General features: G+C 41.3%; 1 long non-coding RNA gene across 1 annotated transcript in view, besides 1 other annotated feature; it reads left to right on the forward strand.

The window, feature by feature from the left end:
- Window positions 1-266: 266 nt before the first annotated feature.
- LOC105374189 (uncharacterized) overlaps window positions 267-14587 on the forward strand; it is a 31734-nt gene continuing 17413 nt past the window's right edge. Inside the window, exon 1 of the long non-coding RNA XR_924657.2 lies at window positions 267-344. This is a non-coding gene — a long non-coding RNA (uncharacterized LOC105374189). The remainder of the gene's footprint in view (window positions 345-14587) is intronic.
- Window positions 3497-4049: an enhancer, noted in NCBI's record as "OCT4-NANOG hESC enhancer chr3:164059961-164060513 (GRCh37/hg19 assembly coordinates)". NCBI's record gives its function as "activates a minimal SCP1, AML or CMV promoter by ChIP-STARR-seq in naive H9 embryonic stem cells {active_cell/tissue: H9 hESC(naive)}" and the evidence as "EXISTENCE:reporter gene assay evidence [ECO:0000049][PMID:30033119]".

Here is a 14587-nt window from a genome sequence, read left to right on the forward strand (position 1 = left end):
GATACGCTCCCTCTCCTCAGAGGTAAAGAGAGTTAAAAGGAGCTGTTGGCAGTCTTGCCAGGTGGGCCGATGGGTCCGGAGTACGGACTCCATCAGTGAGGTCAAAGCCTGGGGCTTTTCAGAGAAGGGAGGATTATGGGTTTTCCAATTATACAAGTTAGAAGTAGAAAAAGGGAAATAAACCAAGAAGGGGGCTGAGTGCTCATCACCCGGAGGGACTTGTGCCTCTCTCAGTGGTAGTAGAGGGGCTGCTTCCTCCCGCAACGGTCGCAGCTGGGAGGCAATGGGCGGCGACCCCACAGAGGACGTCGTTGAAGAGACATGGGATGACGCTAGAGGAGCAGGTTGGTTGTAAGGCGGCGGAACTGGGTGAGGGAAACTCTCCTCTTCTTCAGAGGAGGGCAGTACAGGTGGTGCCGAACTGGCTGAGGGTCGAGGCGAAAACGTAGCCTGGCTCAGGAGGACTTTGGAGGTGGAATTGTGAATGGCGCATGAATGGAGCCATGGAGGAGGATTCTTGACCAAACTTAACCATTGATCTACATAGGGAAACTGATCAGGGTGGCTGGGAGCTTCAGTAACAACCTGCCACATGGCTTGAGCAATTACAGGATTCAACGACCCTTAAGAGGGCCACCTAACTCTAAACTGGCCATTTTACTTCACAGAGTGTCCAGAGTTTGCCTTTCTTAAGGCAGACTCCCTAATCCTCTGAGAAACCAAGAGAAAAATTTTTCAGCATACACTGGAGGGGGCTCCAACCCTTGCAAGGCTGGGAGGAAGTGTTTCCTATTTTATTATTATTATTATTATTATTATTTAAAGGCAATTTAGCAAAGTCTTAAGTAGAGATATCAGATCTAACATGGGCAGAGAAACTCTTTCCCTGGGGGGCTGGAGTGTTGGAAAAACAGAATTAACATGATCAGGAAGAACAGAAAAACCACAACAGCTAATACAACTTGCCACATTGCTGTAGCTTTAAGATTGAGGGAGGGGGACTAGACGCCAGCCTGAGGTCTCCTGGGCTGGTTCAATCTAGGTATTCTCCCTCTTCTTTTTCCTCTAGACCTATATCCTAAATATTTTTGATGTCTCCATGATTCAAAGGCAAACAGTTCAAATTCAGCTCTTTCTTTTAAGGGTTCAAGGAGTGAGAGCAGAGCCAAGTCTTGGAGACGCTGAACTTGCTGTCGCACTGGAAAAAGAGATGTACGGGGTAGGGGGGCAGGGACGAGGAGGTGGAAAATGAGATGTGCGGGGTAGGGGGCAGGGACGAGGAGGAAAGGGACCACTCGGGTAGTTTTTAAGATGAGAGAGTATCCGCAGGGGAACAGAGTAGGAATTTAAATGAAGTAAACAGTAGGGGCATAGGTTTCCCTACACAAGGTCCTATTTAAGGGCATGGGGAAGGTTACAGAATGACAGAAGAGATAGGCAAGTAGGTCTACAGGGTGGCTGTTTTGAACCCACCACCAGTTTAGTTCAGAAGAAGTCCAATCACTAGGACGTGGGGTATGACAGTCTAAATACCAGCCAACCTTCATGGTGCCAGAAATCCCAATCAGACATATGTTCTTTACATTTGTTCCCGTAACAACACCTGACTTGCTTCTGGCAGAAAAGACAGGACTGTGGTGGCCAGCCTAAACAACTGATGAGAAATTTAACATCTTGTGACAAAAAATCAGCACTAAGGACCCTGAAGAAGTTTTTACCCAGACGTCTTGGGCAATATCGACGTTCTGACATGCAAAACCTTAACAAATACTAAACAAGACAATGAACACTGAACAGAGCAATAAAACATAAAGCAAACAATTCCACCCTAGGGCATGTAAACAGTTATGACAGTTTTCCTTTTTTTTTTTTTTTTTTTTTTAGACAGACAAGGGAAGGGGGTCCCGTGATGGGATCATTCAGATGTCCGCCTGGCCGCTCCCCCTGAGGGGACTTGGGCTCCTCTTAGCATTGGCAGGCCGGTATAAACCCCCGGCTTGGATCGAGCTATGCCCGATGCTGCCTTAAGCCTTATGAGGTAGCCATGGAACCCCAGTTGAGGGCCCACTCGAACTCTGTAGCTTTCGCCGTGGAGCTACAAACTGGAAGACAAATGCAAGCCTTTGTCCTCCCACATTTACACACCATTTATACAGAGTTTATAACAGTTTTTTTTTCTTTCCCGGAGATTCTCCAAGAAACCTGAACAAAAGAAGGATGGAAGATAGAAAAGAGAGAGAGAGAGAGAGAGACCGGTCTGACAGAAACCAAGTCTCAGCTCCCCAGCGTCTGGGTCTTAAGCTAAGTCCAAAAGTGGGAGGGTCCTCTTCAGGACCCCTTCCCACCCAAACCAAGACACAAAGGCGCCTATCAGAAAACCAAGGCTCAACCCACTAGTGTCCTAGAGTAACGGGCTGAGTCAAAAGAGGGACGCCCTCTTCAGAGCTGCTTCCCTCTTACCAGAACCTGAAGGAAGTCAAATCTGACCTACCTGACCCTGGGGTCAGAAGCTGAGGACTCAGATGCTGAATTTTAGGTCACTCACACGGTAGTCGATCTGCTCTCCTCTGGAAGACGGTCACTCTTCGGGGACCTGAAAATTGTTTCCTCAGGTGGCGCCCCGCCTCCGAGCCGGCCGTCCTTCCGGGGGAGCCTGGAGCGAGACCGGATCTCACACGGTGGTGTTAATATCTCGCTGGGGCCTCCAAAATGTTGTGCCCAGGGGTGTTAGAGAAAACACCACACTTTGAGATGAATTAAGAGTCCTTTATTAGCCGGCGACCGAGAGACCGCTAACACTCAAAATTCTCTCCGCCCGAGGAAGGGGCTTGATTAACTTTTATATCTTGGTTTAGGAAGGGGAGGGGGGGTTTAGTTAAAACAATTTTACAGAAGCTAAGTAGTCAAAAAGTTAAAAGGATAAATGGTTACAGGAAAGTAAACAGTTCCAGGTGCAGGGGCTTTAAGACTATTACAAGGTGATAGAGGCGGGGCTTTGGGCATTATCAATCAGACGAATTCTTGAGGACTGCAGATATAGCTTGCCACAGTATTTTATCAGTTAATTGCATTCTTGGATGTGCTGGGAGTCAGCTTGCACAAGTTAAGTCCTTGAGGAAGGGGCTGCCAGTGAAAGAGCCAAGATGGAGTTTGTCTGGTTCTCTTAGCTAAGGGAGAAACAAGGCCAGGTGAATAAGGAAAAAACAAGGTTGGGTATTACAATATATCTTTATGTGTATATATACACTTATATACGTGTATATGTGTGTATATATGCATATTTGTGTGTATGTGTATTTTAACATATATTTATTTACCACATATATATTTAAAAGCATATATTTATGCTTATTTTCTCTCCCAGGAACTTGGTTTTTTTATACATACATATATATATATATATACACATACACACACATAAACACACACATGTACACACACATATATGTACATATACACACATATATGTATTCAAGTACATATATATATACACACACTTATGTTTCATGTGCATCTGTGTGAAGAGACCACCCAACAGGCTTTGTGTGAGCAACAAAGCTTTTAATCACCCGGGTGCAGGCGGGCCGAGTCCAAAAAGAGTCAGCAAAGGGAGATAAGGGTGGGGCCATTTTACAGGATTTGGGTAGATAAAGGAAAATTACAGTCAAAGGGGGGTTCTCTGGCGGGCAGAGTGGGGGTCACAAGGTGCTCAGTAGGGGAGCTTTTGAGCCAGGATCAGCCCAGGAGAAGGAATTTCACAAGACAATGTCATCCATCAGTTAAGGCAGGAACAGGCCATTTTCACTTCTTTTGTGGTGGAATGTCATCAGTTAAGGCAGGAAGTGGCCATCTGGATTTGTACGTGCAGGTCACAGGGGATATGAAGGCTTAGCTTGGGCTCAGAGGCCTGACATTCCTGTCTTCTTATATTAATAAGAAAAATAAAATGAAAGTGGTAAAGTGTTGGGACATTGAAAATTTTTGGGGGTGGTATGGAGAGATAATGGGCGATGTTTCTCAGGGCTGCTTCGAGCGGGATTAGGGGTGGTATGGGAACCTAGAGTGGGAGAGATTAAGCTGAAGGAAGATTTTGTGGTAAGGGGTGATATTGTGGGGTTGTTAGAAGAAACATTTGTCATGTAGATACGGTTTTGTATGAATTGAAAAACTAAATGGAATAAGAGAAGGAGAAAAACAGGTATAAAAGGTCTAAGAATTGGGAGGACCTAGGGCATCTGATTAGAGAGTGCCTAAGGAGATTCAGCATAGTCCTGCCAGCAAAGATTATTTATTTACTTCAAGAGTTTAGAGTAGCAATTTGGGGATAGCACCAGGAGATATCAGCTGTGATGGCTTGGAGAAACAGTGTAAACTGGCAGTGTAAACAAGAGCAGGGCATGTATGAGTAGTTGAGAACGGTGAATAGGAGTATGACTAGATAGAAGATAGTAGGGATGACAAGTTTTTTGGGGGCACACTCTAAGTTGGTCTGGTGTCTGGAATGATACTGGGACCTAATAAAAAGGAGCGTCTATACAGGAGCTCAAATGGGCTGTACCTTGTAGCATTCTGAGGACAGGTCTGACTTCTGAGAAGGGAAAGTGGTAAAAGTATTGTCCAGTCCATTTTAATTTGGTGGCTGAGCTTGGTCAGGTGTGTTTTCAAAAGACCTTTAGTCCGTTCTACCTTTCCTGAAGACTGAGGACTGTAAGGGATATAAAGGTTTCACTGAATACTAAGCCTGAAAAACTGCTTGGCTGATTTGACTAATAAAGGCTGGTCTGTTATCAGACTGTATAGAGGTGGGAAGGCTAAACTGAGGAATTATGTCTGACAGAGGGAAGAAATGACTGCGGTAGCCTTCCCAGACCCTGTAGGAAAGGCCTCTACCTATCCAGTGAAAGTGTCTACCTAGACTAAGAGGTATTTTAGTTACCTGACTCGGGGCATGTTGAGTAAAGCTAATTTGCCAGTCCTGGGTGGGGGCAAATCCTCGAGCTTAATGTGTAGGGAAGGGAGGGGGCCTGAATAATCCTTGAGGAGTAGTAGAATAGCAGATGGAACACTGAGAAGGTATTTCCTTGAGGATAGAGTTCCACGATGGAAAGGAAATGAGAGGTTCTAAGATGCAGGCTAGTGGCTTGTACTATAGCATAGCCTGCCTTTGCTGGTGTGTGATGATTAGGCCTGGTGGAACTGCCATCAATAAATCAAACGTGATCAGGGTGAGGAACAGGAAAGAAGGAAATATAGGGAAATGGGGTGAATGTCAGGTGGATCAGAGAGATACAGTCATGGGGGTCAGGTGTGGTATCAGGAATAATGTGGGAGGCCAGATTGAAGTCCGGGCCAGGAACAATGGTAATTGTGAGACTTAACAAAGAGTGAGTACAGCTGAAGGAGCCAGGGAGCAGAAAGTATATGCATCAGGTATGAGGAACAAAATAGATTTTGGAAGTTATGAGAAATGTAGTGAGTGAGTTGAGCATAGTTTGTGATTTTTAGGGCCTCTAAAAGATTAAAGCAGTGGCAGCCGCTGCACACAGACATGAGGACTAGGCTAAAACAGTAAGGTCAAGTTGTTTGGACAGAAAGGCTACAGGGTGCAGTCCTGGTTCTTGTGTAAGAATTCTGACAACACTAACCATGCCTAGGAAGGAAAGGAGTTGTTGTTTTGTAAGGGATTGAGGTTTGGGAGATTAATCAGACATGATCAGCAGGGAGAGCACGTGTGTTTTTATGAGAATTATGCTGAGATAGGTAACAGATGAGGATGAAATTTGGGCTTGACTGAAGTAATGGGGACTGTCTGTGAAGCCTTGCAGCAGTACAGCCCAGGTAATTTACTGAGCCTAATGGGTGTCAGGGTCAGTCTAAGTGAAAGAAAGGAGGGGCTAGGATGAAGGGTGAAAAGGAATAATAAAGACAGCATGTTTGAGATCTAGAACAGAATAATGGGTTGTAGAGGGAGGTATTGAGGATAGGAGAGTATATGGGTTTGGCACCATGGGGTGGATAGGCAAAACAATTTGGTTGATAAGGTGCAGATTCTGAACTAACCTGTAAGCCTTGTCTGGTTTTAGGACAAGTAAAATGGGGGAATGGTAAGAAGAGTTTATAGGGTTTAAAAGGCCATGTTGTAACAGGCGAGTGATAACAGGCTTTAATCCTTTCAAAGCATGCTGTGGGATGGGATATTGGCATTGAGTTGGGTAAGAGTGATTAGGTTTTAATGGGATGGTAAGGGGTGCATGATCGGTCGCTAAGGAGGGAGTAGAGGTGTCTTATACTTGTGGGTTAAGGTGGGGAGATAAAAGGGGAGGCTGTGAAGGAGGCTTTGAACTGGGGGAAAAGGTGGCAATGAGGTGTGGCTATAGCCCAGGAATAGTCAGGGAAGCAGACAATTTAGTTAAAGTGTCTCAGCCTAATAAGGGAACTGGGCAGGTGGGGATAACTAAAAAGGAGTGCTTAAAAGAGTATTGTCTAAGTTGGCACCAGAGTTGGGGAGTTTTAAGAGGTTTAGAAGCCTGGCCGTCAATACCCACAACAGTTATGGAGGCAAGGGAAACAGGCCCTTGAAAATAAGGTAATGTGGAGTGAGTAGCCTCCATATTGATTAAGAAGGGGACGGATTTACCTTCCACTGTGAGAGCATCTGTGATGGTCCTGTAGGCTTCTGAGGTGATCAGGCAGTGTCAGTCTTCAGCTGCTAAGCCGAGAAGATCTGGGAAGGAGTCAGTCAGAGAGCCTTGGGCCAGAGTTCCAGGGGCTCTGGAAGTGGCTGCCAGGTGAGTTGAACAGTCTAATTTTCAGTGGGGTCCTGCACAGATGGGACACGGCTTAGGAGGAGTCCTGGGCTGTGGGCATTCCTTGGCTTAGTGGGCAGATTTCCAGCACTTGTAGCAAGCTCCTGGGGGAGGAGGTTCTGGAGGAACCCCTGGCAGCTTGCATTTCAGGTATTTGCAGTTCTTGTGTACTAGAGATGTGGCTGGGGTTTGTCTCACAGTGGAGGCGAAGAATTGCAACTCAGAAATATGTTGCTACTTGGCTGCCTCTACTCTATTATTGTACACCTTGAAGGTGAGGCTAATTAAGTCCTGTTGTGGGATTTGAGGGCTGGAATTTAATTTTTGGAGTTTTATTTAATGTCAGGAGCAGATTGGGTAATAAAATGTATATTGAGAATAAGACTGCCTTTTGACTTTTTGGGGTCTAGGGCTGTAAAGCGTCTCAGGGTTGCTGCTGAACAAGCCATGAACTGGGCTGGGTTTTTCATATTTGATGAAAGAGTCTAAATGCTCACTGATTTGGGAGAGGTCTGATAAAGAAAAAGGAGCATTAACCTTGACTATGCCTTTAACTTCAGCCACCTTTTTAAGAGGAAATTGCTGGGCAGGTGGGGGAGGGCTACTCACAGAATGAAACTGTAAACCAGATGGGTGTGAGGAAGGGAGGTGATAAAAAGATTATAGGGTGGAGTAGTGGAGGCTGAGGAAGAATTGGGACCTAGCTCGGCCTGGTGAGGAGTGGCCTGGGGAGGAGGGGAGAGGTCAGATGGGTCTGTAGAAAAGGAAGATTAGAAAGACTCAGCACCACTTGGGGGTTGGGACTGAGGGGACAGGCAGGAAGGAAAGAAGGAAGATTTGGGATGAGTTGCACTGGGCACAGAGACTAGGGAGGGACCGATGTGTAAAAGAATGCCTAGAGGTCAGGCATCTCAGACCATTTGCCTATTTTATGACAAGAATTATTTAGATCTTCCAGGATGGAAAAATTGAAAGTGCCGTTTTCTGGTTATTTGGAACCACTTTCGAGTTTGTATTGGGGTCAAGCAGCATTGCAGAAGAAAATAAGGCATTTAGGTTTTAGGTCAGGTGTGAGTTGAAGAGGTTTTAAGGTCTTGATAGCACAGGCTAAGGGAGATGGAGGAATGGAGGGTGGAAGTTTGCCTATAGTGAAGGAGGTAAGCCCAGAGAAAAGAGAGAGTAGAGACATGGAGGGAAGGGGTTCAGGGGTTCTTACCCTCCAGAAAAGTGGGAAAGGGGTTGGGGAGCAGAAATAAGGGGTTGAGGCACAGAGATAAGAGGTCGGGGCATGGAAATAAGGGATTGGGGTGCAGAGATAAGAGGTCGGGGTGCAGAAATAAGGGATTGGGGATTCTTGACCACTAGAAAAGCGGGACTTGCCGCTAAGGATGAAGGAGAAGGGGTTGATGGGGTTTTGCCCCTCTCCCAGAAAAGCAGAGAAGGGGTAGAGACACAGAGAGAAGGGGTTGGGATACTTGCCCCTCCTCCAGAAAAGCAGGACTTGCCACTAAGGGTGAAGGACCAAGGCAGGTATCTCTGCGTGGTCTGACACCTCTGAAACGTGGGTGAATAATCAGAGAGGCATCCCTGCAATGATTAAACAGCAAGGGAAGGCTGCATTCCCAGTCCATGACCAGCGCCGGAGTTTTGGTCCACGGATAAAACGTATCTCCTTTGTCTCTATCAGAAAATGAAAGGAATTGAAATTAAGAGAAGGGAGAGACTGAAGTGTGGCATCAAGATTGAAAGGAGAAAGAGGTTGAGAGATAGTGAGGGAGGTTGGAGAAGAGAGTAAAAGGAGGCCGCTTACAGGATTTGAAATTGGTGAGATGCTTTTTGGGCTGGTCGGTCTGAGGACCTGAGGTCATAGGTGGATCTTTCTCATGGAGCAAAGAAGAGGAGGACAGGGAATTTATCTCCCAAGGGAGGTCCCGCGATCCGAGTCATGGCACCAAATTTCATGCGCGCCCATGTGAAGAGACCACCAAACAGGCTTTGTGTGAGCAATAAAGCTTTTAATCACCTGGGTGCAGGCGGGATGAGTCCAAAAAGAGAGTCAGTGAAGGGAGGTAAGGGTGGGGCCATTTTATAGGATTTGGGTAGATAAAGAAAAATTACAGTCAAAGGGGGGTTGTTCTCTGGCGGGCAGAGTGGGGGTCACAAGGTGCTCAGTAGGGGAGCTTTTGAGCCAGGATGAGCCAGGAGAAGGAATTTCACAAGACAATGTCATCAGTTAAGACAGGAACAGGCCATTTTCACTTCTTTTGTGGTGGAATGTCATCAGTTAAGGCAGGAACCGGCCATCTGGATGTGCACGTGCAAGTCACAGGAGATATGAAGGCTTAGCTTGGGCTCAGAGGCCTGACAGTATGTACATAAACATGTATTTTTTAATTAAGCTGACATTTAACTATTGAGCTCTTAAAAAATTCTTTTAAATCTCATTAATATTTTGTAGCTGGTACAAACTGCTGCTGTTTCAAAAGTAATGCAAATATCAAGCAGAAAGGATTTGGCTTAGGATCCAAACCCAGGCTGCCATGGTGAAAAAAGGGCAGAATCTTAGCTACTGAATTATAGGATGGGCAACTGCCATTACTCTGTCAGTTTGGCTTGGCTAGCAGAAGGTGGCCTTGTTATTTAAATAAAGTCCCTCAGGTAATCAAAATTTATGTCTCTCTCTCTCTCTCTCTCTCTCTCTCACTGCAAGAATTTAGCCAATTGAGAGGCCTTGTTCCCCATAATTTGGAACTTTCCTTCAGATTTGATCAAGTCAGGTAGAATTGATCAAACTCAATGAACAAAAGACAGAAACAACAAAAACAACCAGCAAAACAGAAACAAACAAAAAAAGTTGAGCAAAACAAACAATTGCACAATTTATACAATTACTGTGTGCTCTAATTGTAAGTAGAAATTAAGACCAGCTAGTTGTTAATCTTAACTTTTAATCATTAAAGATAATTTCCAAGAATAAACCCCAATTCAGCTACTTACCTAGGAATGGGGCCCAGGCTGAAGACTGCTCTGCACCATCTTAGAAGCAGGAAAAAACTCAAACTTGCCTTCCCTGTTGGAAGTGAGCTGAAACTACAAGGAGTTGCCTGCTCTCTCTCCAACATTGCAGAAGCAGGAAACCTCACCTTCCTTGTTGGAAGTGACCAAAACTCCAGAAAAGGAATTGAACAGGAAAATAAAACTTAGATGTCAAATGAACTTGGGGAGATCATGGATTCTCTGGAGGCAGGAGCTCCCAGGCCTCAGAAAATTGTTGTATTGGTTTGAGCAATCAAGATAACTCAAAGTGGTGTCAAGCACTGATACAAGATTTGTCAAAGGTCAGGGCTACCTCCACTCAGAGTCCCTTTGTGGTCACCAATTTATAAACCAGAAAGTGTCTGAGACAGGTATCAATCAATTTAGTTTATTTTGCCATGGGTAAGGATGTGCCTTGGAGACAGATCTGTGCCTTTATCCAAAGATAATTTTGAGGGCTTCAATATTTAAAGGAAAGGAGCATGCAGAAGGGGACAAAGGGAGGGTGTGGTCACATTACTGAATTCACATACTGTAAGAGAAAAGGAACAGGTAGGGGAATAGTCAATTATATATCCATCTTGTACTCAGTAAATCAGCATTTTACATAAGATGATGAACATAGAGTAGCTACCTGTGAAGACATTTAATCCCTTATCTATAGGTATCTTCCTAGGAACAGAAGGAAAGGCAGTTTATTGCAAAACTCAGCTTTAAGCCTTATTTTCATTTTGGCATAGTCAAATGGAATCTCGAGTTTTAATTTTCTTTTTACAGAAGAAAAAACAATATCAATGATTATACTTTTGCAGTAATGTAACTATTGGCAATGATTGAGTCAAATATATAGCCTCACATGTTGATGGGGTATAAATTGCTATAACCACTGTGAAACACAATTAACCAATGTGTCTTAGATTTTTACAAAACATTTACTCATAACATTTAATCCACAAATCCATTTTTTAGGAATCACCCTTAAGAAAATAATTACAGAGGTGGACCCATATCTGTGTAAGATGTTCATTAGTAATTTTTGCCACAGTAAAATGTAAGAAACTATTAAAATGTCTATAAAAGCTAATGGTTAAGAAATGATATGTTAACTTTATGATGAAACACTTTGTAGTAGTAGAAGCTCTTTATTTTTTAAGAACATTCACTTACATAAAAGGATATTCATAATAAAATATTAAACAATGTCTGCTTATAATACTATTATATTTTGTTAAAATAGCATTAGAAAACTGGAAGTCAGTACTCTGAAAACTGAGTAATTATTTTGTTTTTTCATATTTTTCAAACTTTACCTTACTTCACTCATCAGAGATTGCTAGTTCTGACCTATACCATTCTCCGTTCTTTATAAGTACTGTAGAATTTCTGTACTTCAGTGTTACAGAGTCTTCCATCAAGAGACAACATTTCCCAGCCTTAGTGTAATCAATTGGTCCTAGATTCTGACCAATAGGCATTAGAAGATGTTTTCCATTGGAAATGCATATATACTCACTACCTATTTTCCCTCACAGCTGACTGGAAGTGAAGAGCTCTAGAGACACTACCTTAGATTTAGGAAAACTTATATTGATGATGTGAAGCCATCCTATTTCCTGAATCACTTGTTTCTGAACTTTTTAATGAGAAAGAAATAAATGTCTTCCTTGTTAAAGCCTCTACATTTGGACTTTCTATTGTAGCCTATGCCATGTACCATAACTAATATGTTTTATAAAGAATATTTTATTACAATATTTTTATAATAAAAGAAATCAAATGGGTTAAAAAAACAGTTTTATTATATAAAATGCATTACAGTATTTAAAAGTCATGAGCTATCTCTAACAGACCGCCTAGCCTCTTCATGCGCTGATTATAAAATTTGGAAAGTATTCTTCATATGAAGCACACACACAGACAAAAGTTTAGGAACATGGCAGTGGGACACAATTCTTTATCTGCTGCAAAGTTTTTCCATTTGACCACTACTGACCTTTTAAAATAGAAATTCTTTCTTGTGAGGGATTGTCCTTTGCATTGCAGGATGTTTAGTGACATTGTTGTCTCTACTCTAGATATCAGTAGCATTCACCCAGTTGTGACAACAAAAAATGTCTTCAGGTACAGCCAAATATCCAATGGGAAGCAAAATCACCCCCTATTTAGAGCCACTGATCTACAGTAAACTTTTACCATGATGAGGAAAAGAGTCATATAATGAAGTCATTGAGATCAGTACTATAAGAGCATTATTAATAGTAAGTGCCTTGGGTAAGACAAAGTTCAGCTCTTTGACCAAACTTCAGTCAGTTTTCTTTGTATCCTCTGATCATGTAGGTCTTGACCTATGGACTTCCATGTTTATCTTTGCATCCCTCTGTTTTAGCAAAAAAACAATTTAGTTGGTTTAGCCAGGATCCCACCCTCAATACCTGATCACTCCCCATGTCTAATCAAATTTCTCATACCTCATCATCAACAAGATGATATCTCATCATCCTTGCCTACCTTCAGCAAAAATCCTGTTAAGTCAACTTAGCCAGGAACCACCTTTTACCCTTGAAGTTTCTCTCAGTAATTTTCCATCCACTATTTGACCCCCTCCAACTGTGTTTCTGGGCTATGAATCACTTTTTCATGTGGTATTCAGAATTGAGCTAGATCTATACTGATGTCTCTTTTCTTTTATTGCAGTAGTTTTTGAGGTTTATTGGTTTTTTGTTTTTTGTTTTGTTTGTTTCCACTTAACTACTGTTCAGGTCAGATTTTTTTTGGCAGGTCCACAGAGAGCTTATATGTGTTGGAAGAAATAAAAAAATTCTGTCAACTAGAGATTCCAGGGCATTTGAGTTATGACTCAAAAGACAGTGGAATTTGGGATATGTATAATTAGTTCAATTCCAGATGCATTGTGTTTTAAATTCCTGAACATATTTTCCTACTCTTAACTTCTTGAATCATTTGTTAAATTCCTACTGTATGCCACACTTTCAGGTAGCCATCCCCTGAAGGAGAGAAATGGACCTCACTCTAGCCCAGTAGGTCCTGTGATGTCCTATGCAATTCTTTTTAATTTTGAAAAGAGAGGGACCAAAGGTCACAGGGCACTTTTACTTTATCATTTGTAGAGTATAAATGTCAGCAATGAGGGAAAAAAGTGTCTCTCTACGTTTGATAATGCCTCCTATCTGTCTTCCTTTAATGTGGATGTAGAGTACGTAATGAACTTCCATCAATAAAGCTCTATTTTTATGACAGTTCAGATTTACTGTTGTAGGCTCATATTACCAAAGATGATGTTAAGTATTAAAAAAGAAAAGAAAACTGTTCAGACTGTGGCACCATTTTCTCTAAGGAAGAAAATAGTTTAATCATTAACAATATTTATATTAATTAGCCTGTAATAGTCATCCTTTTAACCAATATTTTTATAAATATGAGTTTGAACTACTTAGTTTATATTGTTTTGTGCTCATAATTCATAGTGAAGAAATAGCATATGTCACTATTTTTTAAAATTGAATATTTTCTTATTTATTAAAATAATTCAGTTCAAAGTAAAATTGAAATTCTCAGTGCTAAGAAATATTTTTAAATAGTGTGGTTCAATTAAAATAAAAGGGTAAAAAGAACCAATGACAAATATTCATTTTGTTTTCATACCTAGTATGAAGAAACTCTTTCTTTTATTAGAGTAAGAATAAAATTTTAAGATATACTTTAATTAAAATATATAATTTTATATAAAACTATATTATATATTGTATATAAACATATTATTATATATTAACATATTATATATTAATATGTTTATTATATATTAACATAATATATAATAAAGTTACATCTGTCAAGCTTAACAGGCAGAAATTTAAATGCAAAAATATACCACATAGGTGATATTGTAAGAATGACACTTTAATCTGAAGTCAATTGTTAGACTATGATTTAAGCATAGTGTTATATGTATGTAATCCAAGATACAACTAGATTTGCATTGACACATGAGTTTTAGTCATATCAATATTTAGGTCATAATTCCCAGAAGATGACTGGTTAACATGAAAAATTCTCAAAAGTCTTTAGTGTTCTCCCAAGGGTTAGTAAACCTTTTCCTGAATGTGACATTTTGAACAAGAGTAAATTGTTCATTTCTGTGGACATTTTCTGTTGTGATAAAGATTTCCAAGTAAGTGGAGCCCTTCAATTGAGCAAGCATTCACTTTACTGGAGATACTTTCATATACTGTTGTGTACTTTGTGATTCCTAAAAGGTGTATGGTTATTCCAATGCTCACTCATATTTGGTGTTAACCTCACAGACCAACTTTTGTTTCAGAGGCAGATTTAAAATATACTTTTAATTTACTTTAACATCAAATTTATAGTGTAGTAATGAGCCACATACAAAAAGAATATGATGATACAGTTTCTAGCCTATATCATTTCCTTTTACTGTATTTATTTGTTTATTTTCCACTGGTAAGCTATAATAGTATCATCAAATAAACTCAAACAATAACCTAGATACAGACATTGTGTTCTCTAAATAAACCAAAGTCACCCTAATAAATCAATCAAAACTCCCAAGCTGTTTTTGTATGGAGCCACTAAAGCAAAGTTCTTTGTAGCAAACAAAATTGCCAGAGGCTTTTGGCTAATAACTGTTAAATACTTAATGACTCTTAAAAGCCTGAGTCTCCAGCTTTGGTTTATTCTTAAGTATTGAAAGCTTTGTCTGACCT

This window comes from Homo sapiens, chromosome 3 (assembly GCF_000001405.40).
Source record: "Homo sapiens chromosome 3, GRCh38.p14 Primary Assembly".
NCBI classification, from domain to species: Eukaryota; Metazoa; Chordata; class Mammalia; order Primates; family Hominidae; genus Homo; species Homo sapiens.